The 20,655-nt window shown below is 47.2% G+C and overlaps 1 protein-coding gene across 1 annotated transcript, besides 1 other annotated feature; it reads right to left on the bottom strand.

Moving 5' to 3' along the window:
- Window positions 1-6,459: 6,459 nt before the first annotated feature.
- Window positions 6,460-9,783, bottom strand: BOD1L2 (biorientation of chromosomes in cell division 1 like 2). The gene has a single exon (NM_001257964.2). It carries the CDS (start codon window positions 9,555-9,557, stop codon window positions 9,039-9,041), a length of 519 nt encoding a protein of 172 aa, NP_001244893.1. The 5' UTR covers window positions 9,558-9,783; the 3' UTR covers window positions 6,460-9,038.
- Window positions 9,019-9,614: an enhancer, noted in NCBI's record as "H3K27ac-H3K4me1 hESC enhancer chr18:54814487-54815082 (GRCh37/hg19 assembly coordinates)". NCBI's record gives its function as "activates a minimal SCP1, AML or CMV promoter by ChIP-STARR-seq in primed H9 embryonic stem cells {active_cell/tissue: H9 hESC(primed)}" and the evidence as "EXISTENCE:reporter gene assay evidence [ECO:0000049][PMID:30033119]".
- Window positions 9,784-20,655: the final 10,872 nt, after the last annotated feature.

Raw genomic sequence — 20,655 nt, 5'->3', positions numbered from 1 at the left:
TACTTCCAAAGCAATAGAGATCTCCAGACATTCAGGAAAAGGATCCCTCCAGCAAGGAAGCCTGGAGGACCTCCCTGGGGCTTGGATGGGACTGCCCGCCACTCCGGTGATAGGCTTTTCTAGAGAAAATGGCACAGTGACAGAGGTGAGGGACCCAGGGGCCTTTAAGGCAGTAGAAGCCTTTCCTCGCATGTGCCTAAGGCTGTGAAAGAGCAATTCCTTGGCCCAGATAGTCTTTGTAGTGCCAGGTCAGTGGGGCAAGAGTGAAGGCCTCACACAGCCTGGGGAGCTCAGCCTGAAGATGGGACCCTCCCCATCCCAGGTTTTCCTTGCAGATCTCCTTCAAAAATCTGAATTCCTGCCTCCATAGCCACCAGTTTCACTGTTGAAGTGTGCACTCACTGTAAGGACAAAGAGGAGGAGGTTAGGCTGGGGCCACAAGTATAAGGAACAGGTGACTTTGCCCACCCATGAGGCTTGAGGGTCACATGGGGCCCTGCTTGGACCAAAGCAGCTGCATCTCCATTGTGTTTTTATTTTTAACTTTTTATTATGGAAATTCTCAAAGACACAAAAATGGAATTGTGATACAAATCCCCCTGCAGCGTTACCCAGCTTCAACAATTATCCACGTTTGATCAGTCTGGCCACATCCTTCCTCCTCTCAACCCCACTGAAGTATTTTAAAGCAAATTGCAGACATTGTGTTATTTCATCTATAAACACTTAAAAGTGTCTCTCTTATCAAGAAAGACTTGTTGAAACACAACCACAATACCACTGTCACACCTAACAACCCTTCTGTGATCAAATTTTCCCAGTTATCTGAAAAATGTGGTTTTATGATTGGTTTGTTCAAAACAAGATCCAAATAAAGTCTACATATTGAATTTAGTTGATATGTCTCTTTCACCCTTAAAAAGCAACTTTTATCCTGAGGAGTGCCCGGCTCCAGCACCTGACAGCAGCCAGGACCGAGCCCTCCACCCATTCCTAGCCTGTGGCTGCCCCAGCCCTGTTCACCACCCAGGGAGCTCTCCAAACACATGCTGGCTGGAAGCCGAGTGCGAAGCCTGCTTCCATCAAGGAAGCTGGAAGGCTGGCATCTGTGGAGGCCTTGCCCTTTTTTGTGTACATTGCACCTAACACCACACAGTAGATGCTCAATAAATCCCCACCGGATGATGCTGTGCAATCAGGTCCTCTCCTAAGAGTGGGTTTTCAGGGAAAGGAGAGCTGCCCTTAATAATTGGAGTGCAAAGATTTCAGACAATTAGCAATGTACACTACTAATAAACTCTTCTATCACACTTGCTGGTGCCAGACCCTGTTCTTCAGTGTTTCACATCTCATTTAATCTTCATCATAACTCCACGAGGTGGGTACGTACTCGCCATTTTACAGGCGAGGACACTGAGGCATAAAGAGGGAAGGTGACTTGCCCAGCTGGGAGGTGGCAGGGATAGAAAGAAAACCCAGGCAGCCTGGCCTTGAATCTCCACACCATCCACCCAGAACCGCAGCATACAAGCTGGGTGGGTTTAGCTGTGTGCCAAGGATCTGACTCCGAACACACAATAGGGTTTCAGCAAAGGGGCAAAGAACTGACCTCAGAAATGTTTGACTTTGACATCTGCACGGGGAGAATCAGACTCCTCCCAGTCCCCCGCAATGCACACACCCTCTGGTCCAGCTTGGGGCCTCATAGAGCCCACAGGGCTAGCGTTGGGCTGGGCTCACTGCAGAAGGGGCAGAAAAGCCAAGGAAGAAGCTGAGGCTGAGCCAAGAAGCCCCAGCTTCCCCTTGCCTGGGGCAGTGCCCCTGGCCAGGTCTTTCTACTGAAAATGCACAGACTCCAGAAGCCAAGTCCCATTGTTATTAATGCTTTAGTGAGAATCAGCTTTGTCCGATTTTTGGACGACTGTGAAAACAAGGATCTAAAAACAGAGATCAGTAAAGTACTGAAAATAACATGTCTGGGGGGCAGACCCAAGGTCACACTTGTCCTTTCTCAGCTGCCAGTCCTGTGCCCCCCAGAGCAGCCACAGCAGGAGGTAAGAGGTCACGAGAGTGCCCCCATGGCCTTCCTGAGTCAAGGCCAGGCTTTCGAAGGAACCTCCCTCCTGTCAGCAATGGGCCCAGCGGACTGGAAGGAACTGGCTTAATAAATGTTTGACTTTGCTATTTGGAGGAGGGCAGGAGCCTCGGCCAGGCCCCGGAGCGGCTCTGAAGTGCTGTGAGGCCCACTGACACTTCCTTTCCCTTTCCAAGGTGTTCTCATGACAGCTAGCTACCTGGCGTCTGCCGGGCTGGAGCAACTGCCTGTACAAGGTGGTGACCTTCTAAATCCACATCCGTTAATGAACCTGGCCGGCCCTGGGAGCCACAGAGGCTGCACCCTCTGCGGTGGCTTCTGCCAAATTCCTCTTGTTGTTTTTGATTCTCTTCTTCTTCCTCCTCCCCCTTCCCATTATGCCTGACATTTCTAAGGCCAAGTTTTGTTACAAGCAATTAGCCTATGTCAGAGATCTGGAGAGAAGGGCTGTGTTCCAAGAACCAGCTGAAGTAGGAAGTGCCAGAGTAGGGAGGGCTGCCTGGAAGCCCACTACTCAAAGGGCCCCTGCGTGGTGGCCCTGCACAGACCACCGCTCCCTGCACCAACAATGGGGACAGGCCTCTAGAGAGGTGAGCCATGGGTGCAGGAGCCCCCAAATGAGAATCCACCATTCTCTACTCTGGAGCCCTCCTCCTGCTTTTCATCTAGAAATTTATCCTCCCAACCTGAGCTTCCCAGACCCTGGATGGGCCCAAAAGCCGGAGTCCATGGCCTATTTCCAATCCTTGAAAAGGGAAAAAGAAATATATTTATCCACAATAAGCTGTATAGGCTAACCCCCAAAAGTATTTTTAACTTTGCCTGGAATTATTTTCTCACTCAGTATGGTCGTCTGTTTGGTATGCTGACAAATAAAAACAATGAAATAGAGTATTTCGGAATCAATGCATTCTCTGGGGTAGACATTTCTCAGGTGGAGGGTGGTATTTTGTGGGAGCCACGAGGGAGGAGGGAGAGGTGCTAAGTCCCCTGACCATCCAGCACCTCCTTCCTCAACGCAGCCTCTGGCGCTTCCTGATCCCCCAGCACCCGACTAGCCTCCATCCTCTGGCCTCTTAAGAGGACATGCAGCCATTACAACCCACGCACTGGTTGATCTCATCCCTTCAGTGTCAGGATACAATGAACTAACTTAAGGAATCAACATGAGCTCCTAAGAGAGGGCCCAAGGCCTCACCTAGCCCTTCCAGGTCACAATAGGGGATTTCAGAAGTTGAATCTTAAAACTGTTGCCTTCTTTGCTGCGGGCGCCATAGGTGAGCATTTCAGGAGGATGACGAAACTGAGGCCCAGGAGGCTACGTTGGCAGCCAAAGGTCCCAGGCAGGTTATGTAGATGGCCGTGACCAGAGCCAAGGTCTCCAGCCTCCCAGCACAGGGCTCTTCCCATGTTGAGGATGCCACTGACTCCCTGCCATTCACGTTCAGCCTATGTTCCATCTACAGTCCAGGACAGGAATGTAAAAAGAGGATCTGTGCAACAGCACCACAATCCAGAAACCTGGAAATCATCTGTTTCCATCCTGAAGGAAATCGTGTTCTCACAAACCCATTCACAGCCCAGCTACTAGCTCTCCAGAGAGCAGGAGGCTGCCTGCCTTGAGAGATCAAGGACCAGGGAGGAACGAAGGAGAAGAGTGGGCAAGGGAGAGAAAAATCTTAGTGGGAGCTGAGGGCGAAGAGAGCTAAGCTGCAACCTACTGTGCGTATTAAATCACTGGAACTCTTCGTGCGAGGGATTTCTTTCTTCCTAGTTGGGTGGGGTTTCAGAGATGCTCTACAGAGTCTGTCCTGGCTTGCCTTGGGGAGGACTGTGAATGTGGCCTGAGAGTAGAGAGCGTTGGATAACTGACTTCCATGCCCATACTCTGTAGGTTGCCAACCCCTTCCCATCTCAGCCCATGGCACTCCTGATACCTCCCAGAGATCTTCCCGCCTCTCTTCTCATACCACTTCTAATAATATTGCTTCCCTTTTCTTGGTCTCCTCTTAGGCCAGATTAGTTGTGTTCATGCACAGCCACAGCTGGTGGTTACCAGACCATGCAATGGTGCTCCAGCTCAAATGCTCTGCTGTGGAAAGTGGGGAAAATTCCTCTTCCATGCTGTCCAAAATAGAAGGCATGTGATTGTTCCCCATTTTTGGCACCTGTTTAATATTTTTGAGGTAGGATGATTTTTACGACTAGGATTTAAAAAAACAATTTAGAGGAAGCAGCAAGAAATATGCAACTGAAACATCACTGAGCAGGCAACTCTTCAATGGGCACTCACCAGTCAGCAACACAAACTCCTTCCACACGGGCTCCAGCTGGATCGCACACCACTGCCCCTTGGTCTAGTGAGACCCTCATTGAATGACATTCATTTTCTCAGTCATAGAGCCTACCCCTTATACCTATAGCTGCCCACAACCAATGATGGAGCTAAAGCTGCAATCTGAATAGAATCCCATTCTCCCTCTTCTGATTCTGTGATTTTGAGTCACACCGAGGGATGGGGAACAGAAAGAATGTGCTTAACCATCAGGCTTCCTAGAAACTGCCCAAATCTGCTGTCACCACTCATTGTTGGCGCATTCACTGGAGGGGCAAAGAAGAGGAGAGACGAGTGCAGTGATTTAGACCTGCTGGCTGTTCGTAATTATCTGTGGATTGGCAGTAGGGGTGGGAAGAGTACCCAAGAAATGATAACTGAAATTCCAAAGATTGAGTAGATGGAAAAAGAAACCTGGTAAATTTATCTTCTTCCTCCTCTCTTCCTGCCCAACAAAACAAAACAAAAATGGGTAATTAGTCAACATCACCTATTGTGTTTAGTAAGAATCTGGAAAACAGCCAGTTCCAGGAAGTGGAGAGGGAATGGATGCAGAGGGAAGCGGTTCTGGGTTTCCGGGCAGTGCCCGCTACACAATGGTTCTCAAGGTGTGGTTGCCTGGGGCAGCAGCACCAGCATCACTGGGAACCTTGTTAGAAATGCAGAGTCTCAGGCCTCACCCCAGACCCACTGCATCAGAAACTCTAAGGGTGGGCCCAGTAATGTGTATTTCAATCAGTACCACCCTCTGGTTAACCTTGATGCTCACTCAAGTTTGAGAAGTCCTCAACCTCAGGTGCACCCTGGTTTCCTGCATGGGGAACCATTCAAATCAGAGTGTGAAGATTCTCCAACCACTTGCTCCCTGCCGCCAGCCACTCCTGCCATTCCCAACCCTCTCTCCTGCGCCTTCCTTTGGCCTTGCCTTTTGGGGGCACCATCCCAGCTTAGCCTATCCTTTCTTTCCAGGTGCTACTCACATCTCTCCTCTTCAAAGACCCCAAAGACACTTCAGTCCTAGGAAACACTCCCTGCTATGAAGCCACATGTACTCACCTCTGTAACTCTCATTCTACACTGGCCTGCCTATCTTAGATACTTATTTTCCCAAGCCTAGAAGTGCCTGGGGTGCAGGGTCCTTGCCCTCCAAGTTGCCAGGAGGTGGGCCCAGAAATCATTTCCTGCAAAGGAGATCCCAGAGCACGTGTGTGAATCAAAAAGGAAGCCTGGGAGGGGAGCTGGCCTCCCAGTCTCCGCAGATTGTCCTGCTGGCACATGGCCCACAGGCAGGCCCTCCCCTGCAGGCCCGCATGTTATTCCCCACGTGGATTAGAGGCTGAACACAAACAGAATACAAAAGACAAAAGACAAGGAGCAGCGTTGCTGTCAGAGTCTATAAAAGTCTTGGAAGTGACAGCCGAGCTCTTGCCTGCTGCTGCTGCCCTGAAATCCAGAAAGAATCAATTTCAGACCCAGGGCCAAATGGTGCCCCAGGGGGCGTGCCTGTGACAGGTGCTGACTCCGCCCAGACCCCAGGACCCACCCAGCCCAGAGATCTGAGTGGGGGAGGAGGAAGGGGGAATGGAAGAGTCACCCTGCAGCTTAAAAAGGAAACACGCACATCTCTCTGTCTCTTTTTCAGTCTCTCTGCCCCTGTTTCTCTCTCTCTGTATCTGCTTCTCTGCCTCTTTCTGTCTCTGTTTGTCTATATCTTTGTCTCTGTCTCTCTCCCTCCCTTTTTCTCTGTTTCTTCTTTGTCTCTGTATTTCTGTTTCTCTGTCTCTTTCCCTCTGTCTGTCTCTCTCTGTCGTGCTCTTTCTATCTCACTGGTGTCTACTGCTGTATTCCTTCCCTGAAACTCTCTTTACTCATTATTAGGATTACAACTAAAATCATTTTCTTTCTTGCTTCATGAAACTAAACTGTGACTCTGGGGATAGTGACTGTATCGCCTACCCCTTTGGACTCCAAGTCTTCCCAAAACATAGACATTTTCAATAAATACTTGTAGTTCATTGATAAGAATGTATAGAATTCCAGAAATTACATTTATTTATCCTTCTGGATTGCAAGAAGGGAATTATTTAGCAGGGACCAGTGGGCAGGCATGCACGCACGCACGTAATGAGCTCTCTCAAGTCACGGTAGTTTGATTTATTTACATATTCATTTTCAGAATACAGCAGTGTCCATCGCATAGGTTAGCATTTTCCATTTGCCAAACTCATGGTGGGAACGGGAAGCATTCAGGCTATGGTTGGCAGATTTGGCAAACTAAAGCATGGGGCCCCAGTAAATTTGAATTTCAAATAAACAACAAATAACTTTTTAATACAAGTATGTTTCAAATATTGCACGGTCCATGCCCTAGGAGAGTATCTGTTGTTTCTCTGAAATTCACATTTGCTGAGCAACCTGTATTTTATCTGGCAACCTGTCTCAGGACAATTCAAGTAGAAAAGGAGAATAGAGAACTGGTAAAGGAAAAAAAAAACTTTAAAAGTTGTATTACACTTTATTACGTTATTTTTAAAAAGAAGAAGGAGAACAAACCCCAAACCAAAAATCACTTCCGCAACACATTTCTTAAAAGCAGAAATTAGGTTCCTTTTATGTTAGTGCAAAGATAGGTGCCAAGCTGGGGTCTCAGATGGAGTGATTTTAAATCTCAGAAAGAGCTTAGCTGTTTTTGTAAAAAGGAAAGTTGGCAAGTGATTAGTGCCGATGTGGCCCAGCTGCTCTTTTGTACTTCGAAAGAAACAATTAAAATGGCTGGGACATTAAACTTTAAAGAGCTGGGTTGTTCATATTCAGAAGCTAATTTTAAAAAGAGCCTGGTACCTGGGAAAGGAAGGGACATTTTCAGAAAGGACATGGTCTTCTACCTTCTGGACTCTAAATTTTGAAGAATCATTTAAAATAGCTCATAGGTAAACATTACAGATAAAATACCTCCAGGGATAAGAAAGCTCTTTCTTGCTTAGACATGTAGACACTAGATGCAAAATTAATTTTTGTTCACTTTTTAGATGATAAATACTGCCATCTGAGAAATTAAATGTTGGAAAAGACAAATCCAGAACTGGTTTCTTTCTACAAATTGCTGAGCTCCTGTGATGTGCTAGGTCCTGGGGTTAAGGAAAAGAAATGAACAAAGCAAATCCCTGCCCTGGAGGAAGCTCACATTTAAGTGGGGATGACAGATCTGTAAGCAAAGACAGTTCACTGTGGTGAGGTGGTGTGGCTAAAAGCATGGTTAAAAGGGTTAAAAGTGAGGGCTCTGTGCTCAATACAGGCTCAGCCCCAGCCCCACCACTTAGGCAGTGTCTGAGCTTTGGTTTCTACATTTATAAATGGGAATAAAAATGGGAATAAAGATACGATTTCTTCAATTAGATCATGAGGACTTACTACGGTAAGCGAAGTTAAGCGTTTAGTACACTGCCAGCTGTAGAGCAATAGAGCAAGTGCTTCGTCAGACCTAGCTACTATAGTAAGTGTGGTCATCCCTTATGAGATCTATGGGAGCACAGAGGAAGGAGTCTGTCACTCCTGCTTAGACGATGTGTGGCTCCTCAGGAGCTGAGTCTTAAAGGAGGGTAGGAGTGGTTGAGGGCATTCCCTTCACAGTGAGCAGAGGGAACACAGGGTGTCCAGGATAGTCATGGGCATGGTTGTCATATGAGAAATGACAGTGTACGGGGCAGCAGAGGTGACCAGGGGCCCCATTATCACGGGCCTCATAAACCATGCCAGGTGTCTGACCTTCTAGAAATATCAGAAAACTGACGGAGCTTAAAGAGGAAAAGGATGTAAATCTGCATTTCTTTTTTGTTGTTGCAGTTGAAAGATAAGCCATTTATTGACCATCCACTTTTCAAATAAAACACAAATGTGAGCATAACATAAACACACCCAAGACTCACTAGCCCCTGCAAGACAGGAAGCATTCTTGGACAGAGAGTCTGCAAATGAGTTTCCTTATACCTAATGTCTGAACTTCTCACTCATTCTAGGGTTTCATGCTTTGTTATCTCTTACAAAGGAAAGGAAACTGGCTAGAAGATTCATGTACAAGAAGGTCACAACTTCAAAGCTATCTGACACTAATGTTGTGTACAATCTAGTTTGCAACTCTGAGAGACAATATCAAATAAGTACTGTCAAATATTCCTCCCAGTTAACCTTTACTGTCATTGTTCTTTGAAATTGTCTTTGGGATTGGTTATGTTCTCTCGCTGTAGCTTTCGTTTATCTCAGAGCACAAACCCTAAAATCCATGTGCAGTCTCCATGTTCAAGTATAGATGTCTGTTTCAGGACAATCCTGGGTCGCGGTAGTGTTTCCCTCTCTGTAGTGTGTGTTTGGTGTCATGCCCTTGGAAAGGCTGGCCAAATGGCAGCGCAATGCAGGAGGGTGCCACGGTCAACTTTCTCTCTGGCGAACTTGCTTCCCTTTCAATCTGGTCACTGCTCATGGTCGAGGTGGAAATCTTGAGCTCAGTGATGAACTTGGCTTATCTTCAATCTGAAACTGCACTCTTATGTAACCGAATCCATTTCTTCACCAAAAATTAAATAGCGCTTTCAAAAGCTGTCAGGCATATTCTTAGGAAGTGTCCTGAGACGGAGCTGGAGGGTCCTGGCCTTCTGGCTCTGGAGGGAGTGCTGGCACAGCTGCTTCTTTCTGGGCCACCAGGAATTCATGAATTATTTGTTCTATTTGTGGCCTGAAGATGTGGTTTAGTTTTGGATCCACCACCTGAGAACTAATCCTGTCCACTCCAGCTTCTGACCTCCCTGACTGAACCACACTCTGCCTCAGACCATCGTGCAGTTGGTTGTCGTTTGCTGGAGGATTCCATTCCTGCTTGTCCAGATGTGTCGACACAAAATTATCCGCTTTCTGGCTCAGGTTTTGGTAAGCTGGCTTGGTGTCCACGTCAGCCTTGCAGTCCCGGCGGAAGCTGTCAAAAAGGCCCCTGCTCTTGAGCTGCCCCACGATGATAGCGATGAGCTGAGGGTCGCCAGGGGGCAACGAGGCCGGGTTGATGGGGCCGCCGCCCCCGCTGGCCCGGGTCGAGGCCGGGCCCGCACCGCCGCTGCCGCCGCCGCCACCGTCCGCCATGGCTGCGCACCGGGCCCACAAGGAAACCGATTATAGCTTCTTCTCCAGGACAGAAAGCCTAGAATGTGTAGAGGTGGCTAAGGGGGCGGTGAAGGAGGAGGGCCCCAAGGAGGCAGCGGCGGAGGTGACGGTGGTGGTGATGGCGGCGGGGCCGGTGGTTGGGGCGGCGGTGGGGGAGGCCAGCTCCAGACCGCGGAGGTTGTGGAAGACGCGGCAGCAACCGCCTGCTGGATTCCAAGCGCGCTCCAGATGGCGTCACCGTTGACCTTTGCATTGTGAGGCGGGAACCGTAATCTGCATTTCTTAAAAGATCTCTAAGAGGGAGGTGGGAAACAAATGCCAGTGGGCAAGGGCGAAACAGGGAGACAATTTCAGCAACCATTTCAGTGCCCTAAGAAGGAGATGGCGAGGAGTGAATGATCTTCGTGGCCTGGCAGGTGAAGAAGGTAACAGGGATACAAGAGATATTTAGGAGATAGACTCATCCCAGGGATTGGAGAACAACGGGGTGAGGGACGAGGGAAAGGAGAGGGTCAAGGATGACCCCCAGGCTTCTCACTTGGGCAGGTGCATGGAGGTGCCATTTACTAAATGGAGAACAGGTATAGAGGTGAGGATGGGAGACAGAGACATGATCGTGCATTCCATTTTTATTTACTAGTTTAAGATGGGTATGGGTTATTCAGATGCAGACATCTGCCTATGAAGTCCAAAGATACAAGGACTAGGGGCTGGGGAGAGACATCTAACTCACTGAAGGTAGAGACTATAGGTGGCAATTACAATGGAGAACTTAGAAGAGATAGAGGAACACCTGGAGAGCCCATGAGGGGGACTGAGAACAACACTAAAAAGATGGAGGGAAAACTACAAAAGCCTTGGATCATAGACCGCAAAAGGTACATTTCATGAAGGCCATGGGTGAAATGCCACACTATGTTCCACAAGGTGTCCATTGGCTTTGGTAGCCATTGATGAGCCTAGGGCAGATGTGTCAGTCAGAAGGAGGTCATTTCAACAAGAGAACTGTATTGCAACCAAGAGCCACAAAAGGCAACCACATCCAGCGCCATCCAATAGAGAAGTGCAGGTGCACAGAAAGAACCTTCTATCAATATTTCAAAAGAAAAGCAGATCCCTGATTTCACCCCAACACTCACTTCCCTGAATTAAAATGCCCCTGAGATGTAGACACCACATTGTTCTATAAGCCGTAACATAGCTTAAAGGTAGTATATTTCACAAAGAAAGTTTACACAACAGACTCTGTCAATAACCTCACCCCATAGCTTCTGACATACAAGTACAGATGCCTCAGATGGACGTATTCTGAATCTCATCCCACAGGAGACAGTGAACCTACCAAGACTTCACCACAGCAACCCCCTACCTATGCTCCTCACCATCCCCATGATCAGCTCGACAATTCAGTTCTGTATTTTTTTAAATTAATCAATATTTATTGAGGGACTAGTCGATGTGGCCCTGTGCTAAGCTTTATGGAGCTCTCCACGTGCCTGGCCCAGTCTAACACTCAATAAATGTTTGCTGTGGCTGTTGTTTAAGACAGGCAACATGGCCAGCCTTTGAAAAGCTTACAATCTAGTTGGAGAGGGGAGATGTTGACAGAGAAAACCATTGAGGACATACACAAGCTCCATGGGAACTTAGATGCAACATGCACACCTAGCATGGTGCCTGGAACAAAAGAGAGGCACCATTAATATTTGCAGAATAAAGATTGCATAGATGAAAGGAGGGTGTCCCTGTCATGTGTTGGAGAACACTGAAGCCTGGGAGAACGTGGCAGATGGAAGAAGACTTTGCAGAAGTGCTGGAGCCTGAACTGAGTCTTCATTTATCCCCTCACTGTGCATGAGCCCTTCAGATTGCACAGGAGTTCTCTTAGAATGCAATCACCTATGTGGATCCAAGATGAGATCTATGGGGTTCTCCAATCACAGCCTCACCCACAGAGGGACACTTACCTAAGCTTTTGAAAGTGATGATAATAACAATCATATTGCAGTGTTCCATTCTGTACTGAAAAATGTTCACTGTCAAACACCTTTTCTCCACATCCTCCCCAAGTCTTAAATAGTGTGCTGGCATGGTTTTTCTGAATAGCTGACTTGTGTATTATTTGTAATCATAAACATTAAGTTACCATAATTATCCCATCACCTTGGATCAGGGTTTAGGGCACAGGACAGTTCTCACCTCTCACCGAGGCTTCAAACCACTGCTCCCGGTTGCCTGGCAAACTATAAGGCCACTAGAGTAACTTCCCTGACCTCTAGCTGACCTGCAGGGATCAATGAACAATTAATTACTATCATCCCACTCCGGGAGAGATAGCACACTGCCATTTCTCAATTACAACTGGAAGTGCCCCTTGGCTGACAGCTGCCTGTCGGACAAGGCAAGCCCCATGCTGATTCAAACCAGTGCCTCCCACCGCAACTACACACACAGATACACACAGGCACATGCCATCTAACTCAGACCACATCCATTCCCCCACCACACCCACCCACAATCACACAGATCACACCATCTTCCCACCCACTAATCCCACACCCGCAATCACACTAGTGTCAGACTCTGAAATGTAGATACCAGAGTGTTCTATGATCCTTAGCATAACTCAGAGATTGTATATTTCACCAAGAAAATATTACAGACTCTGTCAATAATCTCATATCATAGCTTCTAACATGCAAGGATGCCTAGGAGGGATGACATTCTGAATATTACCTGGTAGGAAACAGTCAATAGTCTTTATCAGTATCAATTTTCCTCATGTATTACATAGGCACCTAGACCAGTATTGTTCAAGGGTAGGGATGACCCTTGCCTTTATGACTCAGGAAGACTTTGTCTTTGCTATACTTCTTGTGACATCTCTACAGGTAAAACTTTTGGTGTTTTCTACCTTCATCTCTTCCTACATCTTTAGTGTCCCCTCCACCCCCATCCTAACGCTCTGTGTTCTGTTTCCTTCCCAGTCACCTTGACCACATCACTTATACCTTTCTTAGCTCCTCCCCAAATACCAAAGCACTTTCTGCATATTCACTCCTTTCCAGCCCACTTCTCTCCACTTCTGATAAAGGAAAAAACTGGACTAATCAACTCAAATTGAAATGTTTCTGGCTGCTGACAGCTTCAGCTACCACTCCTGGAGTTAATCCTAAAATTCAGAAGAGTAAATATACTGGAACCTCAGAGGTTCCAGTTCTGCTTGAAGGTGGGAGTGGGCTACTTTTGCTCATAGAGGCTCGGAGAATCCTCATATCTCACTATGTGTGTATGTTTCCTGCTTTATTTCTACAATCAATGATCTAAACACTGGTTATTCCATTGGAAAGATCCACAAATGCATTAGGCAAGTCTTTTGATTGCACACAACAGAAACCCAGCTTAAAAAAGGAGGGGGGATATATGGGCTCACTTAAAGACACAAAGGTCTCTCTGGCTCAGGCATAGTGGGATCCAGGTACTTGAACACAATAATCAGAACTTGATCTCTGGTTTCCTCCTGACTGGCTCTCCTCCCAGGCTGGATGTCTTAACAGGGCTCTCCGAGCAGCTGCAGGTGTGCATCACCCATAGTCAGCAACTGCCACTGACAGGAGAGCTGCTAGTTCTGAGAAAGAGAAATTCCAACAGAAGTCTCAAGATCATATCTCTTGGTCTACCTTGGATCAGTCCTCATCCTCGAACCAATCTTATTGGCCAGAGGCATGGAAGACTAAACTAGAGAAAATTCCTCTCCTTTCCCAGCTCCTGACCTCTACTACCCAGGGCAGACTCAGCCTGTGGCCAGTCCTGGCCCCTGCTGATAACTGTACAAGAACAAAAGCCTTTTGCTAGCCAAAAGCTTGACTTAGGGAGCCTGTGACAATTTAGAGGAACTGTAAAGCCATGGTTTCTGGGCCCTCATCAGCAAGCAAAACTACCTTAAATTAATCAGGTATAGACTGTACTATCTTGATCAAACTACCAGGCACCTAGGAGATGATCACAAACATCACAGTTATTAAAGGAACATGCTTATGACTCCACTGCTTACATTTCCACCTTGTGCCATGCCCAGAAGGGACCAGTATCAGGATACACATTTCCAGTCTCTCCCCCAACTTCCCCCATCATGTGCTGCTCCAGCCAGAGGAAGAGTGACTTATCTGCTTGGGGAGATCAGGGAGAACCAGGCAAATCCACCAGGCCACATTTGCCAAGAGCAGAATCCTTGAGTGGGACATGGACATGTCTTGCTGGTTCTCTTAGACCTGCCTGGCTTCTTCTGGAGCTCACTGCCCTCCTCCTTTTCCCACCCCCAACCACAAGGGAAGTCTGCTTCTCTTTAGCAGGCATGTGGTTGGATGTGTATGTTCAGACCGGAGAGCCACACGGAAGATCTTGCTGCCCAGTTTTCCAGAGAGCCCTATGCTTTGGGTACTATAATTGACTCTTTGATCCCATTGAGCTCCTTAATTGGCTAAAACCAAGAGGGGAGAAAGCATAAGTAATTAGCACCTCCACCCCTTCTAGCACAACATCAGCAGCAGACAACAATGATGGTGATGATGATGAAGGTGGTGGTGATGATTACAGGAAGGTCTCTCCCAGAAGCAGTAGGGAGTCAGGCCAGCAGTGACCATGCTCTCCCACTTTCCCTCCCTAACAGAACCATCAGCCCTGAATGTCCCCCTACTGGGGGCTGAACCTTGTCCTCTGCAGAGAACACAAAAATAATTGCAAAGTGCTGTCTGCATCCTGCAGAAGCACACCAGCCACTTGAGCTTGGACATTAAATCATACCAGAAGACTGTATATCTGCCCTGGGAAGGAAGGAAGCAATTGAAACCCAGTATTTAAAGGCAGTCTCAGATTTATCCTCCCTCTTGACAGCCTACAAAACATTGGAGAATAGTCCCTGCCTTTCTCTGAATGATAAAACAGAAACCACTGTCCAGAAATTGGTCCTGAGAAAGTTCATCGCTCATTCTCATGTGACTTTCCTGAGAAACAAAAACTGCAGGCCAAAACTCTGAGTTTTAACAGCCTTCTACTTCCACTTATTTGCCAAGCAAGTGCTGTGTTGCCTTCTCAGCATCCTACAATGTTTCACTTTTTGTGCATTTCCTTTCTTGTTTTTTCACCAACAAGGCAGCAGCACTGATTTTTGTGCACTCTCATGGAGATACATCTCACCCACTGGCTTTGTTCAACCCATGCCCCACCCTTAACCAGCACACTTCCATGCCCCCGGAAGGGATTTTGAAGGCCAAATATTTTGGCTTGTTTCCATTCAGAAAGCTTCCCTATTGTTTGGACATTAGTAAACTAAAATCCAAAGTCCTCAGCCAATTACTTCACCTCCTAATCTAACTTTGGGAGTTTGCTGGCTCCGTGTCAAGCCGATTACTGACGAAAGGCAATCAGTCATCGTGCCTTGTCTGTGGGCAGGTGAGCCCAACCGCCCCGCAGGGCCAGGAGCAAGTCAACATAGGATTGCATCATCTGCAGCTCTCAGTCTGAAGAACTGTGGGTAACACAGTGTGCTGATAACCCCACTCCCTGTCTTGCAGGAGGAGCTCACATTGTTGACAATTAACCCAATCCAAGAGACCTGCATAAATCAATCACTACAGGAAAAAAAAAATTGTTCTTGATCTACAGTGACAAATGTGTAGACAAGGTCAGTGGCCTGGGTTTACAACCTTGCTGTCTGAAGTGAGAATCTGGGGAGGAAGCTGCCAGTAGAAGACAGGGGCATTTCCAAGAATTTCCAGAGACCCATGCTGAGCAACCTGCTTTGCACTGGACATTCCCACCCTCAGGCCTATTTCCTTCCCTTGACATTTGATGCTCTCTGCACTGGTCCATTTTGTGTTGCTATAAAGGAATACCTGAGACTGGGTAATTTATAAGGAAAAGAGGTTTATTTGACTCATGGTTCTGCAGGCTATTCCAGAAGCATGGCACCGTCATCTGCTGGGCTCTCAGGAAGCTTTTCCGGAAGGGGGAAGGCAGGGGGAGCGGGCATGGCTCTTGGTGAGAGAGGGAGCAGGAGAGACAGCAGGAGGTGCCAGGCTCTTTTAAACTAAAATCATACAGTGAGAACTCATACCACAGAGAGGGCACCAAGCCATTCATGAGGGATCCACCCCCATGGCGCATTTGCCCCCCACCAAGCTGCACTCTAACATTGGGGATCACAATTCGACAGGAGATTTGGAGGAGACAATCATCCAAACCATATCACCCTCCTTTGGGTTTCTGACTCAGTGTTGTCCCCAGTCCCACAGACTTGCAATTCCCAAAGGGCCTCCCCAACTGCAGGGCCATTGGCCAGGCCCTCTGCCCAGATGTCCCTTCCTCCTTCTTCACTGACACTACCCCTTCCCCTCCCTACTGGAAACCTCCTGTTTGTCATTCAGGTCTCAGCCTAGACATTCTTCAGTCCAGGCAACCTTCCTTGACCCCTCATTCTGCTCAAGGGCCCTTCAGGTGTTCTCCCATGGGGTCTATACCCATTTCCTGGGGCTGCTGTAGCAAAGTACCACAGACTGGGGGCTTAAAGCAGTGGCCCCCAAACTCTGTGGCAACAGTCCCTGTTTCGTGGAAGACAGTTTTTCCACGGGCTGGTGCAGGGCAGGTGGAGGTGGTTTCAGGATGATTCAAGCACATTGCATTTGTTGTGCATTTTATTTCTATTATTATTACATTGTAATATATAATGAAATAATTATACAACTTAACATAATGTAGAATCAGTGGGAGCCCTGAACTTGTTTTCCTGCAACTAGACAGTCCTATCTGGGGGTGATGGGAGACAGTGACAGATCATCAGGCACTAGATTCTCACAAGGACCATGCAACCTAGATCCCTCACATGCTCAGTTCACAATACGGTTCATGCTCTTGTGAGAATCTATTGTCACCGCTGATCTGACAGGAGGGGGAGCTCAGGCAGTCATGCTCACTCCCCTGCCACTCACCTCCTGCTGTGCGGCCTGGTTCCTAACAGGCCACAGACCAGTACCAGGGGGACCCCTGGTTTAAATAACAGAAATATATTGTCACACAGTTCTGGAGGCTGGAAGTCCAAGATCAAGATGTTGGCAGGGTTGGTTCTTTCTGAGGGCTGTGAGGGGAGGATCTGTCCCAGGTTTCTCTCCTCAGCTTGTAGGGGGATATCTTCTCCTTGTGTCTCTTCATGTCATTTCCCTTCTTTGCCTGTGTCCAGATTTCCTCTGTTTATAAAGTCACCAGTCATATTGGATTAGGGTCCACCCTAATGACCTCCGTTTATCTTGATTACCTTTGTAAAGACTATCTCCTAACAAGGCCATAGTCTGAGGTGCTGAGGTTAAGACTTCAACAGATGAATTTGAAGAGGAAAAAATTTAGCCCATAACAGGACCCTTACTACTTCTCACCTACCATAGGATATTAACTGGCCTCATTCCTCCTCCATCACCCTCACTGAGGGCAGGAATGGTGTCTGACCCTCCCTCTAGTCCAGTGCCTGGCATGGGGTATGTTCTCATTTCTGTTCATGATTTCACATGCCTGCCCCTCTCCTCTTTTTCTTCATTGTGTAATGCCCCTTGCTACTGACAGCATGGACCCTAGTGGCCACAGGAATTGAACTGCCTGGCATGGGAGTGGGTGGGGTGGGGAGGGCTGCTCAGAGCCCGCCTGCTGTTGGTGACACAGTGGTAATGACCTGAACACAGCTTCCCCATCTGCTTCAACCTCCGGGGAGCCACCACCATGAGGACGCGGGTCCCTCCTTGGCAGGGCATGCATCAAACTAATTCTCCGGTTCCATTTCTTAATCTAACGGGTGGTTCCAGGAATCCAGCCATGTGCTTTAATGGGCCCCTGTCATTAGAGGCTTGGCAAATGCTCACACTCCCAAGCTCCCTGAAGCCCAGGAGGGCTGGCCAAGGGCTGAGAGGCACCAAGGCCATTTTCAAAAGCAAAAGGGCAGCAGGATCATAGTCTGACATTTTTTTAAACCTGCATTTATTTAGTAAATAATGTATGTTAATGCAACATATGCTGTATTATGCAATAATGACAGAAACAACCTGATCCTCCTATCCCAGACTTCACTCGCATCCTGCAGCTGCTCGGCAGGAATCCTGCACCCGCCTCCAGCCAAGGACTCCTTGACAAGTTCACGAAAGGGCAATGAACGTTGGAGGTCAGCTCCTGGCTGCCTCGTCCGCTGCTGGGCTGCCCAACCTCCTCCTTGTCCCTCCCTTCTCACACCAAGCCATCCACACCTGCCAACTTCCACAGACCCTCCTCAGACCTGCAAGACCTCCCTGACCGTGTTGGCCCGCAGTGACCTCCATACTTGTCAAATCACCTCATCCCTTGTCATTTGGGTCTTAGTTGACATACAAGGGGCGTTGCAACTTTACTGCTTCCTCTGTCTGTCTCCTAAGCAGATCACAGAGTTGCCCTTCCTTCCTCAGGGCACCAGAGCAGTGCTTGGGCCAAGCCAGGATTATTCCAACTTCGGTTGACTGAAAACTTAATGTCACACCAGATCAGTGTTTGCTGGGGGTGTGCATGTGGGGCAGAAGGAGGTGACTGCAAAGGTGCATGAGAGAATTTTTTGGGGTGATGGAAATATTCTAATTCTTGACTGAGGTCGTGGTTACTTGGGAGTATACATTTCCCTAAACTCACCAAACTGTACAATTAAAATCTGTGTTTTAATGTATGTAAATTATTCCTCAATGAAGTTAATTAAAGAAAAAAAATCCGTGTTATTGTAACAACACATAGAACCAGGTTTCCCTCACAGTTTGGCAACTATGAAGTTCTAACCCCACCCTTGGTAGACAGCTATTCTGACACTCAATGACTGTGACAGAGCGGACCCGTGATACTTGTTAGAATCTGGGTTTGTCAGAGAGAGCACACAGCATCCATCCAAGAGAATGCTATGGGGCCTGTATTATCAGGAAAATTTTGTCTTAGCAGGAGATTGTTAAAATTCACTTAAGACATGTTTTATTTGAAAAAAACGACCCAGGCCCCAGCACCAGGAGCCTGGGTTCATGTCTGACAGTCCATGGGCTGTTGGCGGCATGCTTCCTTGATGTAGTTTTCTGTTCCTTTAACTATCAAATGAGGCTTCAGGCTGGCTAATCTGTGACATTTCTTTTAACTCTGCAATTCGATAATAAGGCTGCACCATTCCTGTGCACTGATAAAGTCACTAAATCACTGGAAAATTAGTGCCGGTGACATCCAACATGCTCCTGACACACACCTACCCTTTCATGGGCCCATTCCTAATTCCTGGTTCTTTGCTGAATTCTTCTTCCATCTCTTAGTTTTTCCTGAGTTCTTGTTGGTCAAGACTCTTTCTCACCTGCTTCTCTATTATTCTGGCAACTCAAAGTTAGTAAGTTTTTTGTGGTGATGGCAGAACCCCCAGCTTTTCTAGTCTGCCTCCTCTCTTACATGAGAACTCATGGTTGAGTGCTCTCTAGTACTCTGCCATGGGAAAGCATCTGTATAGGATGAGGACTTTATCAGTTTCAGCTCACATACTCCTCACGGTTCTGTGAGGTAAGTTTTATTATTTTATTTTCATTTTGCAGAAAAAGAAACTTAGCCATAAACGAGTTAGAGGGACTTGCCCAAGCTTACTCAGGCTATGCATGCGACAGCAGGATTGGGAAGTGAAGGCCTCAGACCCCAGGGTCTGTGTGCTTGACCATGATGCTGTTCTTCTTCCCTGAGACCCAAGGTACTTCAGGAAGACTGCTACCACCATGTTCGCTTTTCTTTATTAAGGAGAAATGCAACGAATATGACATTCAAGAAGAAACCCCTTCTTCTAAAAAAAAATGGGTGATAGGATAATCCCCAACTAATTTTTGGATGCTTTTGCCTAAAGTCTTATGATTGCTGGGAATGAAGAGTTAGTATTGGAACTGCAATTATTAGGGGGGTGGGGGAAGCAGGTGGTTTCCAACACACATGTCCCCTCCACCCCACTGGAATTCCCACAAAAATGTCACAGAGCCATAGAAACCTCCTTGGGCAGGCTCCCAAACTTAAAGACAGATTGCCCCTAACATGGAACAACCCCAGAAAGATCTTTATCAAATTATGCCCTTATGGTCATGGTGTTTTGTATGTTCCTTGAAGGAGAATTCAATGTAAAATGAGTTTAAGAAATGCTGGGAGTTCAAACACATCTCCTCACTAGTGTACTTCAAAGCTTTTATCACAAGTGAATTGCAAATCTCCCAACATAGTTTACCATGTGTATTTTCACCACGGAAGGTTGTTGTTGGTAGTGTTGGTGTATGTGTGTGTGGTAAGGGTAAGGTAAGAGTAGGTATTTGTTTTTGCCAAATGCCTTTTATTAATACCATCTTGAGGAAAACACAAAAAGACATTGAGAAAAATACTGCTACCATGGGTAGAAGACAAGGTGAAGACTCAGGTAAGTTAATATGGTGGCCAGCCTCCAAGATGGCTCCCAGTGATTCTCGCCTCTTAGTATTCCCATTTTTGTGTAGTCCCTTCCCACATAAGGCTGACCTGTACTGCTAAGTAAGATATTTCAGAAAGGATGGTGTATGACTTCTGAGGCTAGGTCATAAAAGACATTTCAGCTTCTTCCTTGCTCTCCCTTGGACCACTAACTCTGGAGGATGCTGACTGCTATGCTGTGAGGAACCCAAGCAGCCCAGTGGGGAGATCCAAGTGTTGTAAAGAACCGAGGCACCTCACCAATAGCCAGCATGGGCTTGCTGGTCACAAGAGTGTGCCATCTTGGAAGCAGATCCTCCAGCCCCAGTCCAGTCTTCAGATGACTGCAGTCCCAACTGTCATTCGAGTTCATGGGAGATAATAAGCCAGAACTACCCAGCCACAAGCCACTCTTGCGTTCCTGACCCACAGAAACTGTGTGAGATAATAAATATTAGTTGTTGTTTTAAGTCACTAAGTTTTAGGGTCATTTGTTATGCAGCAATAGATGCCTAATACAGTTAAGCAGAACTTCCATGATGTTTCCATGAAATGAACCTTTTGGACATAGTTTACA

This window comes from Homo sapiens, chromosome 18, assembly GCF_000001405.40.
Source record: "Homo sapiens chromosome 18, GRCh38.p14 Primary Assembly".
NCBI classification, from domain to species: domain Eukaryota; kingdom Metazoa; phylum Chordata; class Mammalia; order Primates; family Hominidae; genus Homo; species Homo sapiens.
Note: the sequence above shows the minus strand (reverse complement) of the source record. Positions and strands in the feature narration are given on the sequence as shown.

What these genes read in the sequence shown, in the direction of transcription:
- BOD1L2 (NM_001257964.2), bottom strand. Translation starts at nt 9,557, where the DNA reads ATGGCGGACGGTGGCGGCGGCGGCAGCGGCGGTGCGGGCCCGGCCTCG.